At 33.9% G+C, this 26216-nt stretch overlaps 1 long non-coding RNA gene across 1 annotated transcript in view; it reads left to right on the forward strand.

The window, feature by feature from the left end:
* Positions 1-562: 562 nt before the first annotated feature.
* The window catches only part of LINC03000 (long intergenic non-protein coding RNA 3000), a 765030-nt gene continuing 739376 nt past the window's right edge, over positions 563-26216 (forward strand). The window contains exon 1 of the long non-coding RNA XR_001742489.2: positions 563-1054. This is a non-coding gene — a long non-coding RNA (long intergenic non-protein coding RNA 3000). The remainder of the gene's footprint in view (positions 1055-26216) is intronic.

Here is a 26216-nt window from a genome sequence, read left to right on the forward strand (position 1 = left end):
CAAAACTGAATGATAGCTATAGGAAACCAGTGAGTACCATTAATTCACTCTGTTCAATTCTTTGCACTTACCTTCTTTCAGACTCGTTCATCAGTTTCACTTTAGTTTATCTCAGTTTCTATTTTTGGCACCTGTGAGATATGGATGCTTTTTGTTTGTTTGCTCACCTCTCCCCAACCCTCCCTACTCAGTCCCTCAGGAATACTGAGACTAGAGAAATTCATCTTCCCCTACCATGAAAACATTTTTCTGGGGCCTAACATACCTGATCTTTATCTTCCAAAGTTAGAAAATTCAGTTACTTTGGCGACAGCTTGGGAATGAGGTAGGTTCTCCAAGTTTAGCAGAGTAGAAAACTATCTAAAATAGTTTTGTTCAGGGTGTCCAGACATTTAATAAAACATTTTTTACCCACAGAAAATGTGGTCCCTTAGAGGAGAAGCAAGGTCCTGAGCCAAACTTTATAATGTACGTTCCTAGGAGGGAAAGCGAGGGAAATTCAGTCCACCGCTCTGCCTGCCTGCCTGCCTGCCTGCCTGCCTGAGGAGTTGCAGTGCAGAGTATCATTGCAGCGCTTTTCCAGGGAGTAACGTGCTGCACTGGTTCAGGGCTTTGTCTTTATTCACAACACATTCATGTGCCTCAGCATGGGGGCAGCTGCACTGTTGCCTGCCAGCCTGTCCTCTTTGACTGCCGAATGAACCAAAGGATAACTCTCCATTCGTGAGAGAGAGTGAGCTACAGAGGAAGAAAGACCACGCAAAAGGGAGGGGGAGAGAGGGGGGCGAAGAGGATGTTCTCCGGCTCACTCCTACATTAGGTCTCTGTGCAAAGGCAGAGGCTGTGGGAGCAGCATCAAGCAAGACTTCGGGCAGTGATTCTAACTATTGCCTATGAACACCGTGGCTGGGACGACTTTGACGAGGCAATTTATTACTTACGCATAGAACACTGGCTGTGCTGAAACTGGGAGCGCAAACAGCCCCTTGTTTTCTAATTTAGAGACTTGCATCTTTTCGACACTCAACAGTATCAAGACACTCTGCTACTACAGGTAAGACGCAGTTAAGATTTGTCTATTTGTGACATCATTACACTTTAACACACTTTAAACTATGAATACTTTTTTTATATTGTGCCTGGTCTATGTTGAACTGCCTTTTTCCCTTCATATTAGCCTCTCTTCAAGTAAATAATTTCACTAAGAAAAAACTGCTGTTAAATGAAGGAACCACTACTAAATCTTTGCTAAGAGGAATCTACATAATTGTATTTCCATGAGCTCTGAGTTCACAGTTGGGAACTTGAACTTAAACTGGGATCTGGGATGCATTTCATAATATATATATATATTTTTTTTTTCTAAATGTACTGAATTATTCACTATCATTTGGATAAGCCAAAATTATTCTCTTGCTACAGTGCTGTGCTGTGTATATGTTTAGTGGCTTTTTTTTTTTTTTTAAACCTCATAGTTTGGGGAAACTAATGATGAGGCACATAACTTGTGGAGTTTGATCACATCATTACCATGTGGTGTAATCTACTCAGTCAGAAAGATGTGCTGTTCTAGCCTTTACTGAGAAGGTGTTATCTTGTGTACATACATATATCATCAATAGGTAGCATGAACATGTGAAATATTTGTAAGACTAAGAGAAAATGCAAGGATGGTGATAATTCACATGCTGTATGATATCATTGAGTCTCGAGTTTGCTTTACATAAAAATTACAAAATTACCTTTGTTTTTATAACTGGTCTCCATCTTCACTTGTCAGTTTTTACAAAATAAAATTAGCTTTCAGGTGAGGTCACTCGGAGTTGTTGATATAGCTGGGAAAACTGTAATCACAGAAACATATTAATAATGTGTTGAATGTCTATAGAGATATAGGAGTAATATTATCAAGAGGCTTGTACAATTTTCCTCTGCTCTGTTTTGATAAGAGCATCTCATAGTATTAGTCACTTGTAACTTGGATTGATTCTGCTGTCCCATTCAGGGTCCCAATGACTTGGAAGTAAAATTACATTGTTGTCTGTGATCAAAGCTAAAAGCTAGGAAGATTTAATAATAAAGTCTTCTTTCCTTGACATTTTTGCTTAAATTTACCCGATCTAATATATATATTTTTCTATCCATGTGTGTCTGAGGTGTTCTTTCTATTAACCGTATTTTATATAAGAGCTGCTCCTATTTGAATTCCTACACCTGAACTATTTAATTGCTGATAATTGGGCATCATTAGATTGACCCTTGGATAGCTAATGGCTTTAACTTTGACATACAATAAAATATGTAGCATAAGATTAAAGCAGCTCCTAGCAGAGCACATGTTTAACAGTGAAGTATTGTGAAAATAGAACCATTTGCATTTAAAAATACATAATTCATTGGAAGACTTGTGATTCTTGTTCTTGTGCATGACTTATTTCATTTCCAATTTCACTTACAAAAGGTTTAAGTCCTTGGGGAATGTATGTAAAATATTCATTTGACTGAGGGTGTGAAAATTAAAGGAGGAATGAATTATTACTACAGTGACTTTTTTTTAGGAGTTTTTGAAAGTTAGTAACTGGCATGAATGTAAAAAATTAATTTGAGAGTCTCTCCTAGGGTACACCAAAAAAAAGCAAGAAAATGTTGATGTGAAATATATGTCAATATGCGAAATTACTCAGAAGATGAAAGGGAATGAAAATAGAAAAGAGAAGTTTTACAGTCTGTAAAAGGAAGAATATTTTCAGTAAACATAAACTCTATACTCTTTCTTTTATGACTGATAAGGAAACAAGGTATCAAGAATAGTATTTATCCAACATGAATGAAATCCCAGTGGCCACATATGAGGTGCAAAAATAAATGTTCTTTTTACTTAGTTAATAAATTTGAATATACAATTACTGAAATTGTATCTTGCATGAAATATTTATTGAAGTTATAAAGTTAGAAAAGTCACTGACAAACTATTTCAAAGTTTATTAATATTCATATTCTTTATTCATATGATTTATATGTTTTCCTTTCTTCCTAAGGAATGCGTATACTCAACACAATAGTATATGTGCTTTGTTTTGAAACTTTTCAACATTAGTTTTAAAATTACTTACTAAAAATCGTTCAGACCAGTCATCTCATTTCTCCAAAAAGAGACATATTCTAGATTTTCTTCTTGGATATACTACAAAAGCACTAACTTTATATTTATACACATTAAAGCAATATGCATTGTTTAATGATTTATAACATTCAGTATTATGTTTGTTTCTCCAAACTTTCTAGTTTTTCCAACTGTTAGAACTTTACAAATGTCTTATAAGAGTAAATTCATTATTACTATGATTTTCAGGGTCTTGGAGTTGTAAACTGTTTTAGACAGAACCTTTTAAAAATTATTGGAGTAGTCATCTCATTAATAACACTTTTAAGTATTTTTTCAACAATTACCTGATATATTTTGGCAAGAATATGTCCCTCCTCTCAATTTCTTTAGAATTTCAACTTTTCTACTAGAGAAAGTTTGGAAAACTTTTCTTTCAATGTCACTTTATGTTTGAACTAGATCAGAAGTTGTAAACTTATCTGGATCTTTAGTAATGTCAGATTAGATAATATAGTTATTGTAATACTCTTTTTGACATGGGGGAGTTTTCATGTGATGCAGAACGTATTAGCTAAGGTGGAATTTGGTTAAGTTAGTTTTGAGGCTTTGGATGATGTAACAAAAGTTAAAAACAAAATATTTCATTTCCTTGCTATCTGAGGGGATATAAACTCTGTCCTCTGCAAGCATACTGCATCAATTATTTATAATTTGTTGAAATAGATTTTGTTTTCATTGATGTGGTATTGGTCTACTGAAATGTTTCTTCTTGATTTTCAACAGGAATTTTATTTTTATATTTCTGGGGGTATTACGTGAGTCTTTCACTGGAATCACGAACAGTTCCTTTGAAAGTCTCAACAATGTAAAAAAAAGACTGTAATCTCCAGTCCTTTTTCATGATGATATTAATATTGAAGCATGAATAGAAATAGCTACAACTAAAAATTCTGAAATAACAAGCAAGAATAAGTAATGAGAGACCTCCAGCTAGTTTTCTGGCTCAGTTACTTCACTTAAATATCTTCTTAGACTGTGGTGTGGATCCTGGAAGTCAAAGCTTCTTGCTGATCTCAGTGACATAGAACTGGCAAGAAACAGCTTCCTCATGCTGCCTGTAGGCACCAGTCAACACTGACCCTTAGGAAGAATTTTTTGGACTGAAATAATTGTTGTATTTTAAGTTATCTACAAGTAAAATACAATAGCCTGTTCAAGTAAGTTAAGAATTATCATAATTGTAAAATGCTGATTGGCTGTTTTGAAGTCAGTTGCAGTATACATTTTAAAGGTCATATTTCAAAAGACTGAAATAGCCATAAACTTTGAAGGGCAAAACTATTTGATCTCTGTATTGTTTTTATGAAATAATTAATAATATTTCAATACACAATTATACAATCATCTTTAAAAATATAGTAATAGGTGTATCCTACTTCAAGGAGTGCTGGGATAGTAAAACCTGTTTATTCCATAAAATGCTAACTTGAAAAGTTTATTATTATCTTAAGACGTATTTTTCCCAGAAAGCTAGTCAAAGTGGTTTTTAAAGAACAACTTTATTGAAATGCATTAAATACCATTAATTTTACTAAAAACATTGATTCACAACTAGTTAGAAATCTAACCACCAGGCAAAGTGAGGTTTGTTTGCAACCACAATTACAGGAGTATATGTGTGAACTTACAAATGGAAACAATCCTAATTTTAAAACATAGCATCCATTCATTTACTTTCCTAAAACCATGTAAATGCAAAATGGCAACACCATCTTAGCTTATACATTAGTTCTAATGTGATTATAATAGTAGGATACATAACAGCAAAGGAACATGCTCATATGGAGAAAGGTTAAATTGTTAGTTTTGTACTGTATGAAAAGTCAGAGATTAAAGAGTCTTCCCTTATGTGAACTTTCTTTATTAGATTAAAGGGTTCCTGACATTTCAGAAAAGTTCTGTTCAAATTAGCTTCCAGTGTTTTTCTTTAATCTGCACAGGCAAATATTACATGCTTTAAGGTTGCTCTTAGAAGGTAACAGCTTCCAATTAATTAGTTTCTGCTGACAGATATATACATTGTAAATACAAACCATAGGGTTCCAATAAAGAAGTTAATTCAGTTCCTGCAAGAGAAGACTGGGATCTATATTCTCTTTTAAGTATTATTTTAAAAATACTAAACATTAGGCAATTATATAAAGAAGGCAAATTTCTACTTGTGATTAAAAGAGATTATATTAACACCTCAAAAGAGAGTATGTAATTTTCAATGTGTTTAATAAACACGAAGTATGAATTTAGGTACTTTCAAATTGATATTATCTCAAAGATTCTTTTTTTGCAATATAAATATTCATTAATTTTTCACAGGAAATATTATAAGTTGTCCTATAATTCAGTTTATTATTTTGTTCAAACAATAATCAGAATATTTAATTGTGTGAAGCAAGGGAAGGAAATATGGCAAGCTTTTTAGTAAAACTACTTCAGTCTAAAATAGCATTTTTACAGCCCTATTTGCTGCAATAAATTCTAAATCATATGTTAAGAATACATTTCTTATCATCTGGAGCACCTATAGAATGTCATCACCATATCTTCCCTTTAAAAACCCAGGTCTTCTAAATGATGTTTCAGTTCCAACTGAAAACATGTGGTGAGTCCAGATGTTCAAACGCAATCACTCCCCAAAGGCTTACAGTTACAGGTTGATTCAAGAATGGCTATGTATAAATACACACATCAGAACCCTAATTTAAAATTAGAACGCAGGCTGTGAAGTGCATAAAAATGGTAAGAAACCACAGTTGGCTGTGTAAATTCCTTGTTCAAATGAAAATGCATTCTCCGCCCCATCAATGTAGCACATCTGGTAGAGTCAATAAATTCTTACAAAAGTTTTAATATATATGTAAAAGGATAGATAATAGATATGACAATATTATGTGAATAAGAAATATGGTTTGCTTGGTAACCTTATTTTAAAGAAATTTTGAATGGTATCATTGGTCTGGTCTGGAAGTTTCAGGGTTCAAAGTGTTTAAAATGATTAATTCCTCTAGTAATTTACAGTGATTAAGGCATAATGAAACAAAAGGTGATTACAGGAATAATAACAATTGTTTTGATTTCTTAACAGTTAATTCAAACCTCAAACTAACAAGAACATCAGAAAGAGAACTTTTCCCTAAGGAAAGCAACACTTGCTAACTAAGGATATTTATGATTCTGTGCTGGCTAATTTATCCAGACAGATAAAACAAAAGCAAGTGGTACATGCTGGAACAGTGAAAACAGCAGACAGATTTATGAACCAGAGGCAACTCTTCTGGGACTCCTCCATAATTGAGTTCTTTAAAATCATGCATTTCATTGCTTCATATTTTCCTTTTTCTTTCAATCCTCCTTTTATAAGTCACATTTCCAAGAGTCTGAACAAGGGTAGGAAAACCCATCTTCAGCATTTTCTTACTTCAAAATTTATTATGCATGTTGTAATCAGATCTCCCAAACCACTCAATAACTTTCCCTCTAGTCATAATACTGTCACCAAGCCAAAACGGTAAGGTTGAAATAATCAAAAGAAACTCCCAGTATCAGTGAAGAATGCATGCTGTTTGTTTCTACCTGGATGGGAAAGAAAGTATTCTGGTTGCATGAGGGTCATGTCAAAAGAATCAAAATCTTACAGACTGAAAGAGTCCACGGATTCAAATCCATTTTAGTTCAATCTATGGGCCACTCTACTTGAACTATTGAGGGAATATCTTGCAAAGATGGGAACAAGTATAAACACATTTACCACATGTACCACAAAACTCCATACAAGGGTTAAAGTTGTGTGACTAACATAACAGATACAAAATAGTCTTCCTTATTGCTAGCATAATAAGTATTAGAGGTAGGGGGAGAAGAAGTCAAACATATTCAACTGCTCACTCCCACTTTCAAAACATTGGCATATATAGGCCCTTGATCAAAGTGTAATGAGAAAAATATTGCCTGATCAAAGGGAACTTTTGTAACTAATAATTATTCCTACTGTGTCTGATGTTACTGCTACCAATACTGATTGTTTAACCATATGCTACTCTAGACACTAGATAATACATGTTATCCAATTACAAAAACTGTGTGAAGTCAAAATTAGTATCCGTATTTAAAAATCAGTAAATAGACTTGTTTAGATTAAACATCCTGCTCAAGGGCTCACCTGACTTAAAAAAATCAGAGCCAGAATTGAAAGACAGTTCTATGTGTCTCCCAAATCCTATAACCACTGAGATGTAATATCTACTATTTTATTCTAGGAATCTGCATACTACTAAGTGGAAGTTAACAATGCACATAATACCCAGTAGAAAAACAAAAAGGAAGCAATCGTAGGAATATAAGATCTAAAGGGTATTAAAAATTTACAACTAAGTTAATCAACTTCAGTAATTAATCCTTGCTTCCAACTATGCTCATTTTCTTTTCTCTTTTTCTTGTCTATTTATTTGACAAGTTTGAAATATATATAGCCTTGTAAAAATGCTGAAACTGAACGGATAACAATTTTCCTTATCATTCCCAGAATTTATGAAGTGGTTATTTTCAACCAAATTGTCTAAATCATGGAAATGTCAAAATATCAGTGCATGTCCTGTCGTAAAAATGAAAATAGGTTCTCCTTGGGGCTTAGTGCCTCTAGCCAAAAACAAAGGATTTGCTTGCTATATTTAAGTCAGCCTGGTTCACTGGCCAAAGAGTTACTGTTCCCTCAAACATAAGCAAGATTTTAAAACTGGTGCCATCTGTGCAATGTATATTGCAACACTGTGTTTATCATATTTCTTCAGTTAGGGTCAAAGTAATTGAGTCAATGCCAATCATCTTCAACTTAAATATTCCCACTTGAATTTCTTTGGAAATCAAGAATGCTGATTATTATGTTATTATTAACCAAATCACTCCAATTCATTCTATAAGGTCACTTTTAAAATTATATAGAATTTACAGATATGTTAGACATTTAAACTACAATGTCCATCTGCTTAAAATTATATTTAAAATACACTTTTTTATGGTGGAATCTCTAAACACTTGCCTAATTAGTTCCCTGATTTAAATCTGACAATCTATAGTCCACTCTACATAAATAATGGAGGTCAAGCCTTACAAGCCTTCATTTCTCATAAACATTCCTCATTTCTTAGTCTAGAGTTGTGTGCATGTATTTTTTTTTTGGTTTAAATAAATATGTAGGTAAACAGATATATAAACAAATATGTCCATATAGAAACTCTAAGACTTACTGACTTACTCAGGGGGAGTCCAAAGGCCGTAATAGATATCTACATTTGACAAAATTCAAGGTTTGTCTACTTCTAGCAAAATTTAAAATAACAAAAGGAATTATAAGAGGGCACAAAGAAGATTTAATTTTTAAAATTAATTCTTAACTTTCTTAAATTTGCTGAAACTCCATTTAAAGTGAATAAGTACCTAGAACAGTATGAGACACATGCACTAAGTTTTTTTTAATCGTATCATACAACAGTTACTTGTGTATTTCAGGGCTTGCTACGATTTGGTTAGCAAATCCTTGTGCGTGTTTAGCTTTCTTTGCTCTTTTTTGGGAAGAAAGGTTATATGGTTCTGCTGTTCTTGATCATTATTATCAGAGTTTTTTGCTTGTAGAAGGTTTAAAGGGTTTTTAAGCTGTTTGAGTGAACAGCTACTTAACATCTACATTTTGCTTAACTAAACTAGATGGAGCACTATTACCTGCTAGTACTCGGTGCTGATATTAACGAGGTGACAGCATCCAAAGTTCTCAGTTGTCACTGTGTTAAGAAACAAGAACCAGTTAGTTACCTTTGGATTTCCTGCACTATTACTTTGGTTTAAGGCAATCGTGGAGATAAGCAGTTGGAGTTGCAGGTCACGCCTGGATTTATCAAATATTCAGATGAATTACAGAATGACGTTTGGCTAAGATTCATGAATGTACGTCAATCAACTGAGTGATGGCTTAAAATGTGGTTGAAAAATCAATTATAGAGCAATAAAGTAAAGCAGCTTCAGAATATAACTTAAAATATAAATAAATATCCGTGATTCCATACTGATATAAATAAATGCTTGAAAAAAGTAAATGGGAGAGTAGATGAATCTCCCATGCAAAAAAAAAAAATTGCAGATAATTCATGCAAATACACTGCTCTAACGAACATGGGGCATAATTCTCCACTCCTTCAGTGTTGGATGCTTTTACTGACTGCTTTCCATAGGCTTCACTATTAAAAAGGGGCAGGAGGAACAGGGGTTTTATAGTGGCAAAATCTGACAGATGTTACCTCACTCACGTGGTGACAATCAACATCAAAAGTGTATCCAATAAAAACAAATCTGGACTCCTCAGAGAAAGAGAAACTTTATTCAAAAAGACTATTGTAACAGGTAGATAGCTCTGATCTCAGAAATCTGCAAGTGTCTCAAAATTTAACAGTAAAAGGCTCTTCTTTAATAGAGTAAGAAGGGATAAGCAGTATATAAAAGCAAATTGTGTGCTATGAGCTGAATTGTGCCACCGTATTCACATCTTAAAATCCTCATCCCCGGGACAGTAGTCTCCCTTTAACTGTAGGGGATACATTCCAAGACCGACAGTAGATACTTTAAGTAGATACCAGATAGTACAAACCCTATATACATTCTGTATTTTCTACTCATGCATAACTGTGATCAAGTTTAATGTATAAATTAGGCACAATAAGAGATTTAGCAACAATAATATTAGAACAATCATAACATTGTACTGTAACAAAAGTTATGTGAATGTGGTCACTGTCTCTCTCAAAATATGTTATTGTGGGCCAGGTGTGGTGGCTCACACCTGTAATCCCAGCACTTTGGGAGGCCGAGGCGGGCAGATCACTTGAGGTCAGGAGTTCAAGACCAGCCTGGCCAAAGGTGAAACTCCATCTCTACTAAAAATATATAAATTATTTGGGTGCGGTGGCAGGCACCTGTAATCCCAGCTACTGGGGAGGCTGAGGCAGGAGAATTGCTTGAGCCCAGGAGATAGAGGTTGCAGTGAGCTGAGATCCTGCCACTGCACTGCAGCCTGGCCAACAGAGCGAGACTCTGTCTCAGAAAACAGCAACAACAACAACATATGTTATTGTGCTATACCCACTTATTTTTGGACCAAAGTTATCTTGGTAACTAGAACCCCATAAACTGAAACTGTGGATTAGGTGGGACTACAGTACCTGAGAATGTGACTGTATTTGGAGATAGGGCCTTTAAAGAGGTAATTAGGTTAAATGAAGGCGTAGGGCTGAGCCCTCATCCAATCTGACTGGCGTTCTTGTGAGAAGAGAAAATGTGGATGTAGAGAGATGCCAGGGATGCACGCATGCAAAGAAAAGACACGGTGAGGACAGCGAAAAGACAGCCACCTGCAAGCCAAGGAGAGAGACCTGACACCTTGATCTTGGACTTCTCCCCACCAGTACCGTGAGAAGATAAACTTTGTTGTTTAAGTCACCCAGTCTGTGGTGTTTTTGTTATGACAACCCTAGCAAACTAATACATTGGTCAAGCAGGGGAGAAGAGTGACCAGCATGGTAAGACAGGAAATGCCTCTTGCTGTAGTAAGTTGATTCTCAGGATAAACTGATAAGGGAGGCATGTTCTGCAATTAATGTTTGCCCAGGCTTGAAAGAAACAAAGTTCATGGATCTGTGGAGAGGAGAGATCTATGGTCTAGTCAAGGCCTAGGGTCTAGTCAAGGCAAAGCAGAGGATAAGAAATGGGCACTTGTGAACACTTGGTCAAGTGATTAGTCATGTGAGGAGTATGTACTCTTGACACAATGTGATGAGCATGGCACATTACCTGTGTGGTCCTCCTCCCCACAACCCATAACTTCTGTCTAATTATGGAAAAAAAATCAGAGAAGTCTCAGTTGAGGATATTCTACAAAACATCTGGTTAGCAGTCCTTAATACTGTCGGTCATCAAAATCAAGAGAAGTCTGAGAAACTGTCATAGTCAACAGACGCCTAAGGAGAGATGGCTAATAAATGAGATGTGGTATCCTGGGCGGGGTCCTCGAGTAGAACAAGGCCATTAGGTTAAAACTAAGGAATTCTGATGGATGTTAGCCGATGGTAATGTATCGATATTAGTCACAATTGATATTGTGACAAATGAACCACAGTAAAGTAAGATATTAGAAACAGGTGGAATTGGGTGTGGAGTATAGGGGAACTCTCTGTACTAGGTTCACAATGTTACTGTAAATCTAAATCTGTTCTCAAATTAAAAGTTGACTTTAAAATCCGTGACAACAAATAAAAACAGTTAATGAATTGCAACAATCGACTATTTCAAATAAGATAGCACAAAGCCGTCATTAAAAAGTTCAAATCAGCCTTGAAATACCACTGTGTGTAATTATAAAACATGATTTAATTGCCACTTTAGAGGATCCTGACTTTGGTGTAAGGTAAAGTATATCTGCGTTTTGAATTCTGTGAAATTAATACCAAACTTTATGAAAGTAATATTTATTTGGTTTATGCAAAGTGGCAATCAATGTGTAGAGATTACAATGCTAAATCATGTGCGTTTTCTTCTAGATCATTTTTTTCTCCCAAGTCTGCAAACTTAACTTCATTTTGCCTGAATGGGATCACTGACATCCAGGCCCTTCACAGATTCTTAGTAACTGTGGTTTTCAGGGCTTTTTATAAGAGTCCCTTGCTGACCTCAATGCTAAATCTCTCTCCATATTCACCTTCCAATTGCCTTATCTGTTACTCTAATTTAGAAAGTAATTATGCATTCTTCCTCTTCCTCTACATGTAACACTAAATGCAATCCATCTGATAAGTATCTCACCTTTTCCCTATGTAAAATTCCAGTACAAACAAGTACAAAGTCTATTCCATATAACTGCTTTTTTTTTTGTATTTCACTCAGGAAAAATAAAAGTTACTTTTTTTTTCTGCCTCTGGTAGTGTTCCCTACATGTGCAAAGAAATGAATGCTGACTTTTTTTCTAAGTGCCAGGAAGCATTTTCTCATTGCGGTGTTTCCATTGATCAAAATACTTTTATGAACCATTGTCAAGTCAAGCGATCTCCCACTTAAGAAATCATACTGCAAGGATACTGTAGAAAGAGCTTTTGTGCCTATAGACTTGAAAATTTTATCACAGTCTTCACTGGGCATTCGTATTTAATTCTGTCTTGCTTTGAATTAAAAAAAATCATTCTGCTTTCTTAAGGATAATCAAAAAGAAGCGGTAAAAAGAAGGCTGAGTAGGCAAAAGATAGTCGTTTGATTTTATTTGCTATTTATTTATCGTAGTTGATGCTTGGTTCATCATTAAAATGATCATTGAAATCTGATTGATTAAAAAAATCTCGCAAGAATAACAATGTTACTCTTCAGTACACTTTGTTTATTGTTCGGTTTCTGCTGGCAAGTTTGAATCATTACAGTTATAGAATTATATTTTATTAGGTTTAGTAATTAGCCTTTTGGAAAATGAATATTATATTTTAGTAGCTTGAAAATATGATCTGTATGTATGTATTGCATTTACAGTTTAATTAGGAAACTAATGAGATGTGATTGACAATCTGACTGGTGAGAAACTGGCACAATAAATTTCTATTAGAAGACTTGAGTTTTTTTCTTCCAGCTTTGTATTCATCTAACCTCAAAGTACAGGAATTATTATATCCAACACCTGCCATCCTGGCCTTTGGAAACCATACTGTTGGGAAAATACCAAACTAATTATAGCTCATATAAGGGAGAGGTGGCAGAATCAACTATTTGTGAGTTTACCTTAGAAGAGTAAACTATGGACAGATTGTGTGACTAATTAGATGAAAAAAACTAATAGAAAGTAAAACTTGATTGATGCATAGAGTAACATTGTTTATTTAGATGGGGTTCACATTTTTATAAATGTGTGTAGGGATATATAATATATAGATGTATATTTGTAATGTGTTACGCAGTATAGCTGGCGTGTGGAAGAGACACATTTCCAGTGTCATTAGTTTGCTTTGAAAATCAGAACCATTTGTCAACTTTCTAGGCAATTTACAAACTTGTTGATGTAATTATTCTCTGACACATATTATTTCTTTTAGTACCAGTGTACTTCTCATGATTTATAGTGAATTCATATTTAAGGCATTTTCCACACTTACCTTCCAACTGTCTGAGTCTCGTTCCCACGAACACCATAAATTCTAATGATAATCCTATCAAATGCAGAGCTTGAGATGACAGAGTGAATCACAACTTCCTTGGGTTGTTATAAATAAAACCAACATCCTATTGTTAGATTTCATTTTGGTATTATTCAGCCAAGTTCCATTATTTATTAAAAAATATATTTTAAATCTAGCAAATATATGGCTGTAAGGTAATTTTTTCATTTTCCTGCTGAAAGTCAGCAATCTTCTTTAGACAGTAAAGCCTGAATCAGAAATACGAGTAAATACATGAGTATTTACTTACTAATGCAATAAATAATGAAAAAAATAGTAATAAACACAGCTACAATATACTAGACATTGGGTTAAGTGGTTTAACATATTGTTTTCCATCCTCTTAATAATTCTGTGAGTTATTCTTGTCACCGCTTTAATAATTAAGGTTAGAGGCCCAGAAGTTTAATAATTTGCCCAAAGATACAAATATAATGAGTGCTGACCTTGGATTTGAACCTAGGTCAGCCTGACTCCAAAGTCATACCTTTTATTACTTTTCTGGGCTAAAAATTAATTCCCTGTGAATCAATAAAACTTTCCATGTGAAAGAAGGGAAACTAATGAAAAGGGTGTGGAAATTAATTTGAAGTTAAATTAAACTCATCATTAAAAAAAATGTTGATTCATAGTTTCTGCAATACATAATCCAATACTGTGATTATTCTATAATACGTTTTTTTCCCAAAATGAAAAAGGGGTACATTTCTCCTCTTAAAGTTGACATGGAAAATTTAAATATCATGTATTAGAAAAAAAGCAGTGGTCAATTTTTTCGATTAGACACTAAATTTTTTATATATATATGTGTGTGTATATATAATTTTTATATAATATATAATATATAAATTGTATACATTGTATATATTATATATAATTGTGTATATATATATATATATATATTAGTCGTACCAGTGGTGGAATTTTTTTGGATAGTGGTTGCTTTAGATCACTAGCTATTCAGGATGAGGCAGGCAGATTGGAAGAGGAAGTAGCAGAGAAGTTCAGTTAAAGGAAGACTGAACTAACTGAAGATCAATCTACAATGAAGACTAAGAGCTCTGAGTAGATAATGTAAATCAATATAAAATATGATTGGACTGGGAAAGGTGTGATTTTTCAAGCTACTTTTTAGGAAACTGTCTATATCCATGAATTTCTTTCTAAGAATTTTGCAGGTGGCATGTTCTTGAACTACTCTGTGCATCTTGCCAATTTAAATCCTACATGTCCCAAACGTCATGTTGTATAAACTTTCATAACAAGTTTTCGGGTCCAACAAACGTGAGCACCTGTTATATGCAAAGTAAAAATCCTTTGCACAATATAATAATTGACAATCATTTAGCACAGTGACTGTTAGCCCATGGTAAGTTACATTTATGCATCACCCAGTGTTGAGTAAATTATTGGAAATCTGAAAACAGATCATGTCAATACACTGGTGAGTGGTAAAATAGCCCAAATGCCAGATGTTACAGAGGCCCTTCCCTACCTAGTCTTGGTGGATGCATGAGCTTAAGTTGTATCTCAGCTATAGTTTGAAAGATGATAGCGCTAAAGCACCCTTCATCTCTAACCTTTGCCTGGTTCTCCAACAGAAATTCATTTCAGACCTAATAGCCATTATTCAAGACAAGAATCTCTCAAAAAAACTTTCAGAAAATAGGCTTGGAGTTCTGGGTTTGACTCACTGTTTAACAATCGGCAGGCTTCAGTTTCTTCCTTTTTAATATAGGATTAATAATTGGACTTACCTTATAATTTAAAGTGAGAATTGAATGGGAGTACGTGAAATACTTGCAGCACTCAGTGCCTTGAATATCAATGTCCACAAAACTTATTATTAGGCTGTCTTTGAATAGTGTGACTGGTTTTTAGTGTTTAATGGAACAGACTGATTGATTGATTAGGTCAATGATTCACAAAGAAATAAGATTATCTGACCCCTTAACATATAAGAAACACACACACTCATCTTATTTCGAATGTGAAATCTTAAAAGATATTAAATGAATTCAAATTCATGAGACCTCAATCTTTGACAAACCTTAGAAAACTGAGATCAGCTTATTCTTCATAAAATATGAAATATGAAATTCTTTCACATTTCAGTCTTTAATAGTATTGTAGAAGGCATTTTTCATGTTATTTAATCTGATTCTTGGAAAATTATATGATGTCCATAGTTCCCTTTTGGCGATAGTTAAGGCGTTGAGTGAAAAAGTAGGGATACATGAATATAACATGTCTATTCCAAATATCAGGATCGTAAAACCATGAGAACACTAAGCAACTAACGAAAAGATATGAAAAGCACATTTTCCTTCCATTTAAAGTCTGTTTGCATGCACTATGATTTTTATAACTCCAGAAAAAATGTACATGTTTCCATGTTTTCATGCTATTCAAAAGCTGAAAATCATAAAAGAATGGGAGTTAGATACACTCCTCTCTAGTAAGGCATCTTTATCAGGGGCAGATTATTGTTCTGGGTTCTGTCTATGGATGGACCAAGGATCCATATGCTGTTTTAAATTGTATGGATATTTGATGGATTTGTATACATGTATATTTTGTACTTTTCAGCTTTTACCATGTTTTGAGAGAGTATAACTTTAGCACTTAAGCATAACTGTTATAAAGAATCTTCCTACAATGTAAGTACTGAAAGTAATGGCAAAAACTGCAATTACGTTTGCACCAACCTAATAATTGAGATTGTTTGCCAAAATTCTTTCTCCTGTGATTTCATTTCTTCAGATCCATAATATCCTTCTATAATCCCTTTCAAATTCAAAACTTCTGGATCATTTCACTGTAAGTAATTCACAAATATCTCTCAAGTTTTCTCTCAAGCATCATCAAGGAGCTAAGCATTACTAACTGGAGCAGACCCAATTGTTCAAAAACTCGATAGCTCCTCTTGTTTTTCATACATGCATTCTTCATTGTTATTAATGAAAAAACTAAATGATTCATGGTAGTGTTTCTCACACACTTCTTAAAAGAGTTTCTCTTTCTTTAGTTGTGATGATTATTCATTTATCCCATAATAAAATGGGATGACGGCGTAAAGATGAAGTTTTATTAACAACACTGGAATTGCTTGAAGTAGATTCGTTATGCTGAAGGCCAAATTAAAACGAATTTACTTTTTCAGGTAGATGACTTTTTAAACAAAAGAAATACATATTTGTTACACATTTTTCTGAACAATTCAAGCTATACAGGGATTAAATATGGGTTAGAGCAGACAGAATGGGTTACCTGAATGAAATAGGGATTAGTTCAAATACTAGTCTGGATGTGCTGTATTAGTTGGCTCTTGCTCTTGCTAGTCACCCAAAACTTAGTGTCCTTTTTTCCCCTTACAATTGTATACATCGGTTGGTTGCTTCTGTGGATCTGCTTGTCATGGCTGAGAAACTTGGGCTTGCTCGTTTATCTGTGGTCACTTGGTCGATCAGTCAGAAGCTGACTGGTCTTGGATAATGTCAGCTGGGATGACTCTGTTCCGTCCCACACAGCTTCCCATCCTCTAGTAGGCTAACACAGACATGATCTTATGGCAATAGCAGGTATCCCAAAGAAATATAAATATGCAAGAGCTTTGTGAAACCTCTGCTGGCATCGGTTCTTTTTATGGCTCAATTGACTGGAGCAATTTACATGGTCAAACTAGTTTCAATGTGGAGAGCTCATTAATTGAAGTCATCAATGCAATTAAATTATACCAATCAAGTTAATGCTATTGCAACCACGTTAGCATTAGCAACAATATCAGAGAAATTGACCCACACTACAGATATTTATCTCTCTGCTGTCATAGTCACTCATGGATACCTGATGAAGGATGCATCTCAATTCAAGACAATACAAGTAACTGGCTTTTTTAATGATTGGAAACAAATTTCTCTCTGTGTGGTTAAATGGATTATGGTTTTTATATATATATATATAATATATATTTCATTGAACACTATGTAGCTATAAAAAGTAATTAGGAAGCAGTGTGCCGACATCCAAATATATGTTGGATATATATTTTTAGGAAGATGCATAAAAGGATGAATATGTTAGTACTGGCATAAGAACAAAGAGGAAAAAGAATATACAGACACACATGCATAGTATAGAGGCTTGTGCACAAGTCTCTGAGAATCTTAAGAGAAAAGAAGGAAAAATATTGATATAGATATAACTTGCAAGAAACCTATTAGAAAAAGAAGTCTTTTCAGAGAATATCTTTTTATGCTTTTTGAAGTTTGAACCACGTAGTATTATTGATAAATAAATACATTATTAAATAAATTATTAAAACAACAATAATCACAAAAAGTAAAAACAAAAAGGCATGTAGTATTACCAGGTATCTGTACTCTCTTACTGGTCTACCTCTTGCTGGTTATGAAAACTCAGTCAATTTTAATGAACTACATGAGCTAGGGTTTTTCTTTCCAGAAGTTAAGGATAGCAGTACCTCGCCCACATAATTGGTGTGCAATTTAAATGGGAGAATCCTTATAATGCACTTAACTGGTGTTTGACACATAGTAACTGCTTAATAAGATTTCAGTATATTTTTTCTGTCAGCACTATTTCATTATTTAATCATAGGAAACGTACTGCAAAGGAGCTAAGGTACAAGTCAAACTGGATTTCCACTGGAAATGTTTTGCTAGGTCATTTTGTCTTTCTCTGTTTTATTAATGTCTCACTTTTAATATAATCTTTGCTCTCTTTCTAGCCTCTTCCCATTTTTACATTACTGAAAGGTCAAAATCAACAATTAAAATATCAAATATACAGTAACCATGTTAATACCATACTAGAAGTCTCAGTTATTCCTTTCATACGTTGGTTGCGTGAAACAAATGAAATTACATCATTGATGAGAAACTTCTCCTCATAGAAAATCAGTAAGATGATGTGTAAGTTCCCCAGTGAAAAGAACTGTTTTTTTTTTTTAAATTTGTTTGTCTGTTTGTTTTAGGCCTTAGTGGTGTCAGATGTTGCAAATGTTAGATAATAATGTGATCTCCTTCACTGAAGAGACGTTCTTAAGTTTTTATTTAAGCAGACACATCGAGTTTTTATCTTAAAGCCAGTGCTTTGGGGATCTTGTTTAATTAATCTAGAGAAGGTTTTGTTTTTTGTGGTTGTTGTTTTGTTTTAAATAACAGAAATACCTACCTTTTCTCTCCACTCAAACAATTGAACATGGATTGAATACTATTGACATCAAGGAATTAATGTAATATCAGTGTGATATCCAAGAAAATATTTATATTTTTGGAGATACCAAATTTAAATACCAATTTATTTTTAGCTTTTCAAAGTTTTATGGGGAAAGGGCAAAAATTCCATGACTAGGATTTGCTTAAATTAATACTATTTCAACTCAACCACAAACAAAACAAAAAACATCAGAAAAATAAGTGTCTCCATCCATTGGGCTGCTATAAAGATACTATTATAGACTAGGTAGCTTATAAACAACAGAAATTTTTTTCTCACAGTTCTGAAGTCCAGAAAGTTCAAGATCAAGGCTCCAGTGGATTTGGTATCTGGTGAGGGTCGGTTTGCTGGCTCCCAAGTGACGCCTTCTCATGGTATCGTCATGTGGTGGAAGGGGCAAGGGAGCTCTCTGTGGTCTTTTATGGGGGCACTAATCCCAATCATAAAGGCTCTACCCTCATCATCTAATCACACTCCAAAGGCCCCACTTCCTAGTAATATGACCATGGGGGTCAACATTTCAACATATGAATATTAGACAGACTCAAACATTCAAACCGTAGTCATAGGTGTGCCAAATTATTGATATTTGTTGAATCCAGGTGACATATTTGTTACTTTGTAATTCTGAGATTATTTAAACATTGTCATAATATCTTGTGTTTTTTTTAATCTAGAAGAATTCTATACTCAGATTACTTCACAAGTATCATCCTCCCTTGACCTTCAAAAAACTCAACTCTGAAATTTTACCCAGTGTTTTAGGGATGTGATATGTACAAGAAAGCCATCTTTAGAGCACTTGTCATATAAGCCCACTGAAAGGAAAAGCTTGGTTCTACATTAGCCAGTTGGCAGAAGAGTGTACATTTATTTACTTCATGTTCAAGTAAAATAATTAAAAAAAAAACACAAGCTAAATTTTAGCTTTATTGAACTTATTTCAGTTTTTCAAAAATGCCTTTTCTTTGGCCTCTGTGCCTTTATACACCTTGTACTCTCTGCCAGAATATGCTGGATTTGACTGGGTCCTATCACAGCTTATTCACACATCCTTCATCAGAACTTCCCTAACTACACTTTCTATACCCAGAACACAAATGTCTCATATATTCGTTCGATAATGGCACTTATGTTTTATTATTACTACTCATTAAATCACCAGCACATCTTGTGCTTAACAAATATTTGTTGAATGGATGAATAAGTGAGTTAATGTAGAAATGAATACTTGCCTCTAATGTCTGAGAAATGCAAGGGGCAAGGTTGTATCTCTTTGTATTCCAATGTTCAATGCTTTCAAGAATACAGAATCATTTAAAAAATATCAGAGATCAAATCTTGACTTCTAAAACATAACTACACTCATCTAAAATCTGAACTAATCAACGAAGCAGCCACATCATAATGGAGTGCTATAGCTATGGTTAGAGCTGTATGCATAGTCTCTAGAGATCTTAAGACAAAAACGGAAAAATATTGATACGGATATCACTTGGAAGAAAGCTAGTAGAAAAGGAAGTCTTTTCAGAGAATATCTTTTTATGCTTTTTGAAGTTTGAACCACATAGTAGTATTATTGATAAATACATAAGTAAACAAATACTTATGGCTAAGAAACCAATGCTTTAGTTTTGTGCTTGAGCCTCAGTTCTCAAACTTTCTGAAGACTCAAGAAAGTCTTCCACATACAGATCTGCTATACTCACTCATACATCCTGGTCTCCAACATTTTTTTTTTTTCATGTTGAACTTCCATGTCCTACAAAGAACGTCTCTGGGTCAGACAGAATTAATTATTCTGGTTCTTCCTTTTTAGAGTAAACAATGAGAAAAAGGCAAATATGGAGGTAATTATCCAATACTTGCAGCTGAAGACATTTCAAGTACACTGTTATTTATCTTGTTAAGAGGAGAAGGAACATGGATATAAACAAGGAAAAGAATTTTATACTTTAAAAAACGACGAGAATGCCATGTGGAGTGTAAACTAAGAAACTTCAATAAATAACCAACAGTGCATATCTGTCAGGGGAGAATTCATTGCTTATTAATCACAAACTGGGTTTTATAATGGTGTATTACTTGTTTCAAAGTTCTGTTTTTCCAACCCCCAAGTTAGCAGTGTCTTTTCCTAATTAAATTGGATTTCTTCCAATATGCCTCAGAATAGTCACCAAGATTTATTCTTCTTCTTTTTTCCGTGTGGCAAGAGTAATATAAATAGCAGGTGTAAAGATTTTCCTTCAACCATCCTTAAAATTTTAACTGAAGGGTTCCTCCCTGTATTAATGTATTCCAGCCAGTTGACAAGATAATGCTCCACTGATGTTGTATATCTAATCTAACCTTTTGTCTTTGTCAGGAAAAGAAAGATTTTTCTTGGAGATAGCTGAGTGCAAAAGAATGCAGTTTGTCACTTTAATAGTAGGTCCGGGAGTTGTGGCATGGTTTGTGCTATATTTTGGCACAGGCACATGCCATTAAAAATGAAGTGGCTCCTTTATAAAGTAATAAGAACACAAACTAAATTTGTGTTCCTAAATATGAATGGAGAAAGCAAATAAAAGTTTGAATTCAAACAAAAAGTCCCAACTTGCAATGTTGTTAGGTTTTTCACAGTAGTTTGTTTGATTGGTTATTTTTCATTAGTCATGGGAAAAATTAAAACTATCCTGGAATTTTATGTCATCAATGGTAGAATCAGCTGTCATTTGTCCTTAAAAATGCTTGGCATGTTCCTCTGATTAGTAATAACTCTTAATATTCTAATCTTATTTCTTATTTTAATTGGAAATTCCCTAGTTATAAGTTCAGTTACAAGTTCAAGAAAATCACTTTTATTTTAATTTTTTTATGTCTCTGGAAAAACAGGGAATAACTGCCCTTTAAAACTGAATGAGAATTAGTAGGAAAAATCTCTACTCTTTAAAAAAAATTAATTTTGTCAAAGAACAAATACTAAAAGTTTATTATTTTTCAGAACTATATTTTCCCTCAATCCTGATTCCCCTTAACATAACTTCAAAATATTCTTTCTTAAAAAACTGTTGGGTATCATGCTCAGTACCTGGATGATGAAATAATCTGTACACCAAACCCTGAGTCACAAGTTTACCTATACAACAAACCCGCACACACACCCCTAAACCTGAAATAAAAGTTGAAATACTTAAAAAGAAAATCACAAGTTAGACAAAAAGTTAAACTCTTTAAATTATGATAAATATAGCATCTTAATAACTCTAATTATAAAAAACCAAAATATTATTCCATTTGTCTTATTTACTTATCAATTCTATAAAAGTAAAATGCTGTGTTTCATAAATGTAATGTTATTTGAACGGAGTTATCGGAATTTTAAAGTATTTTTCTTAAGTTGTTTAAGAGTACAGTTGAAATTGTATCTTTAAACTAGTGTATCATTTACTTTTACAGCAATTAGTCATTTTACAACTGTCATTGAAAATTAAGTCATGACCTATTTTTAACAAGCAGGAAAATCACCTGACGTGGCATCTATCTAGAAAAGGTCTACATAATTGTTAGGAACATAAATATATATCAATTACTCATAGTTATTCTCTATAGCATACCTAAGTAGGTAATAACACAAAGAATTCTAGTAATTCTAGCTTTGCGTTGTACTTGATTTTAAAATGATCGTTATTTTACCGTAACTTATTTCAGTGGTTAGACTCTCCCACTCCCTTTTCTTTTAATTTTATTGTCACAGATGCTAAAACTTAGAACTAAAAAAAAGATTTTATCATTCAAGAAAATAAATAAAAATTTCATTATTCTTTAAGTGATGTAATCATTTAAGAATATTTATAAACTGTTTTCTCCAATGAAAGCATTTTTTTTGCCAAAGTTAAACGTTTAGATGTTGTTATTAAAAATAAACCACCATCATTGAATCATGTGAAATAAGATTTATGAAAACATGATCTAAAGTCTGATTTCTATCATCATATAATCAGCTTTGGAACATAACGCATCTTGTAATGTGTTAAGTTCTAAAATATAAATATTAGGAATCTGTTTATAATCACCAAATTCCTGTGAACCTGGAATGGAAGAACTGCTCTGTTCATTTGAGTGTTCTCATTAAAACAAAATTATTCTTCTAACTATTAGAATACTATAAAATATAAAATATGCCACATTGACTTTCATTTCTTTGATACTTCAAATTATAATTTTAGGCTTATGTTCCTGAATATTTTTACTCTAAAATTGCTGCTCAGTTTTCCAGTTGTTGGCATCCTAGATAAATAGAACATTGCTCATGTGAATAGTAATTCCATGGTTATTATGGATATCAAAAGTTGATAAAGCAATACAGTCTTAGGAGATGGTAGAAACTTTATGAATCATCTAGGCAACTACTACTGTTAAAATGACCCACTTTAAAATATCCTCACTGGTCTGCCAGCCAAAACGCCCCAATACTTCAAGTGATAGGGCTCTGTGTCCTAAGGCAGCCCAGTATATCATTGCAGCTCAGGTTACTAGAAGTTTCTTTCTAATAACATGCAAATATCTTTCTCCTTGTGGTTTCCACGTAGTCATCCTCCCATATTCTCTTTTTACAGACCACTTCCTGCCTAATCCTTCATGTGTCAGGACTTCCTTCATGCCATCTCAGTCATTGTCCCCACCACTGTGACAAGGATGTGTAAGCTTCACCATTCTCCAGAAGGAGATATGGAAAAGCAGAGATGGTAAATTAATGGATCAAACCACACGGATGTGATTATACTCATCAGTTTAATTTCAAATCAAATCTTCTTTTCAAGACACTTGTATGCTTCCTTTTTCTTCTTTGAATAGTCTTGAGAAGTTCCCCCAAGTTTCTAGATTTAGGACTCAATGGGTTTTATGACATGATTTGGGTTTCCTTACCACCTTGGGCAAATTCCTCCAAGAATTTCTTTTGATCCTTTGCTCAAATTTTATCCTCTTCTTTCCTGCCTCCCTCCTTTTATACATCCCTCCAACCTGCCTATAGTATTAGTGGGGCACCAACTCTTTGCTAGGTACAGGGCATAACATAATGTATAACACTGACATGGCCCATGCCTTCATGGAGCTTACAGTCTAGTGAAGAAGGTAGACATGTCTAAAAAATTAATTGTTATAAAGCCAAGGAAGAAAACAAACCATGCACTAGGAAAAATAGGGACTGTTTACCCATTTGGATGAAGGAGATGTTAGGGAAGGCTTTCTTGAGTAAGTGACATTTCTTCACCCTTCAGCTTCAGTTTAAAATTTCAATGTCAGGGAATCCCTTCCTTAACATCTCACTTAAAAAAACTCTTCTAGGGTACTTTTTCCTAGCACTCCCTCCCATTGTCCTTATTTTCATGTTTATCCATGCCCCACATGAGTTAGATTGGGTTTAATGTATTGCTTATATTTATGGCAATCTCATCTCTGTGTCATAGCTCTGACAAAAATAAAGTGAAGGTAAATGTTTGCATTTGCTTCCACCACACAGTGCAAATTTCATGAAGACGTCATACTCTTCTTCATAAATGCACGTTTCAATGCAGCAAATAGTATGTGTTCAATAAATGCTTTCCTGAACTGAAATAATAATCACACTTAAGATCTTTCAAATCTATCGGAACAAACCATTTTTCATCTCATATTTGCCATCTTTCATTTTCTCTGTCAATACTTACCATTGGCTATAAGCCAGGTAGGGTAGTTGGCACCAACAAGATAACTGTAGTTCCTGCCACCATTGGACTTACTTATTCTGAGTCTAATACGCATATTCGATTCATATTAGAACTCCTCTATGAGCTAACAGCATTTGAGGATACAGTCCCATTTTCATCATATCATTGTATAATAACTGCTCAAAATACATTGATCAGTGTTTGACACTTCCCGATTGTATTAGCCCATTCTCATGCTCCTAATAAAGACATAACAGAGACTGGGTAATTTATAAAGAAAAAAGGTTTAATTGAGTCTCAGATCCACATGGCTGGGGAGGCCTCAGGAAACTTACAGTCATGGTAGAAGGCACCTCTTCACAGGGTGGCAGGAAGAGAATGAGTGCCAAGGAAAGGGGGGAGCCCCTTATGAAACCATCAGATCTCGTGAGAACTTACTATCATGAGAACAGCAGCATGGGGGTAACCACCTCCATGATTCAGTTACCTCCCACTGGCTCCCTCCCATGACATGTGGGGATTATGAGAACTACGATTCAAGATGAGATTTGGGTCGGAACACAGCCAAACCATTTCACTAATTTTGTCCTGGATTTCCTATAGGAACCTTCAATATAGAGCATGCATATAAATAGTGAGAGGAAAAAGCAGTAAGAGAAAGCAGAAAGAGTACATTTGAGGGTTATGAGAGAAATATATAGTGCATGTGCACACACACACACACATGGCTTTGGTCTCATTAAGTATTCCCTACCCCCAATGCATGTGCTAAACATAACTTTGGAAAATGAGTCAAGGATATTTCTAATGTGGGGTTTTAATCAATAGCCAATGTATCAATGAAGTGTCATAGTAGTCATTAGTAATATCAATCTCTCTGGCCTTGCTAAGCTTGGTATGCAAGGTCTGTATTTTGGTTTTATACATCAGGTAATTGTTCTATAATTTGTACATTCTGTGTAACAAACTGTTTCTTCCTTCTCATATCCCACTTTTAAAAGAAGTGACACATGTGTTACCATCAAAGATTTGAAACAAATAGTGCAGTAAGTTTTAAGTCATTTTTTCCTCTTTATAGCTCAATACTAGGGAGATATTAAAACTAGAGTGATAAGAGTACTAGGTGGTCTGGGAGAGCAAATGTGCCACCATGGAAGTATTTCATGAGAAGTGAAAATCTGATCTTTCATAGAGGAGATCATAGAGTTTCCATTCCATGTAAACCACATGTTCCTGTATTCACCCAGAACAGGTTCTTCCAGCAAATAATCATGTTTAATGGAAAAGCTAAATTATAAGCCTCTAAATTTCTAAATACGTATTAGGAAACACAAGATTTAAGTGAATTAACTGGATTCCCTAAAAGCAGAAAAATTAAATTTTCTAACAGAAGGTAATGCTTTTTGTTTGTTTTGTTTTGTCTTTTTCTTTCTTGGTATATTTGAGAACATTTCTCAAATGATCAGCTAAGTAAAAATGTCCAGGGAGGTTTCATGTGATAAATTGGTGAAAATTCATTGCTGCTGAATAGAGTTAATGAAAGATTTTCCGAGCAAGACACTATGGTAGAATCTAATATGTATAAATTAAATCTTCTACTTAGAAACATACTAATAAAAGCAATGAATTAAACATCAGGACCAAGAGATTTGGGCTTATTAATATAGTGTAACTCTATTTAGTAAACCCTAATTTGCTGAACACTGATGTTACCAGTAAAATTAATAAATAGAAAAAAGTGTATCCAGCAATATCCAGATGTATCATATATTAAACTTTAAAATTTAATGAAGATATCGTATAATATTAAAAGTTCGAGTAAAAGAAACTTGATAATTTTGAACAAGTTCCTGGTGTGATAGCTATCTGAACCATAAGAAAGCATATTAC

The sequence above is a fragment of the Homo sapiens genome, chromosome 5 (genome assembly GCF_000001405.40).
Source record: "Homo sapiens chromosome 5, GRCh38.p14 Primary Assembly".
In the NCBI taxonomy this organism is placed as follows: Eukaryota; Metazoa; Chordata; class Mammalia; order Primates; family Hominidae; genus Homo; species Homo sapiens.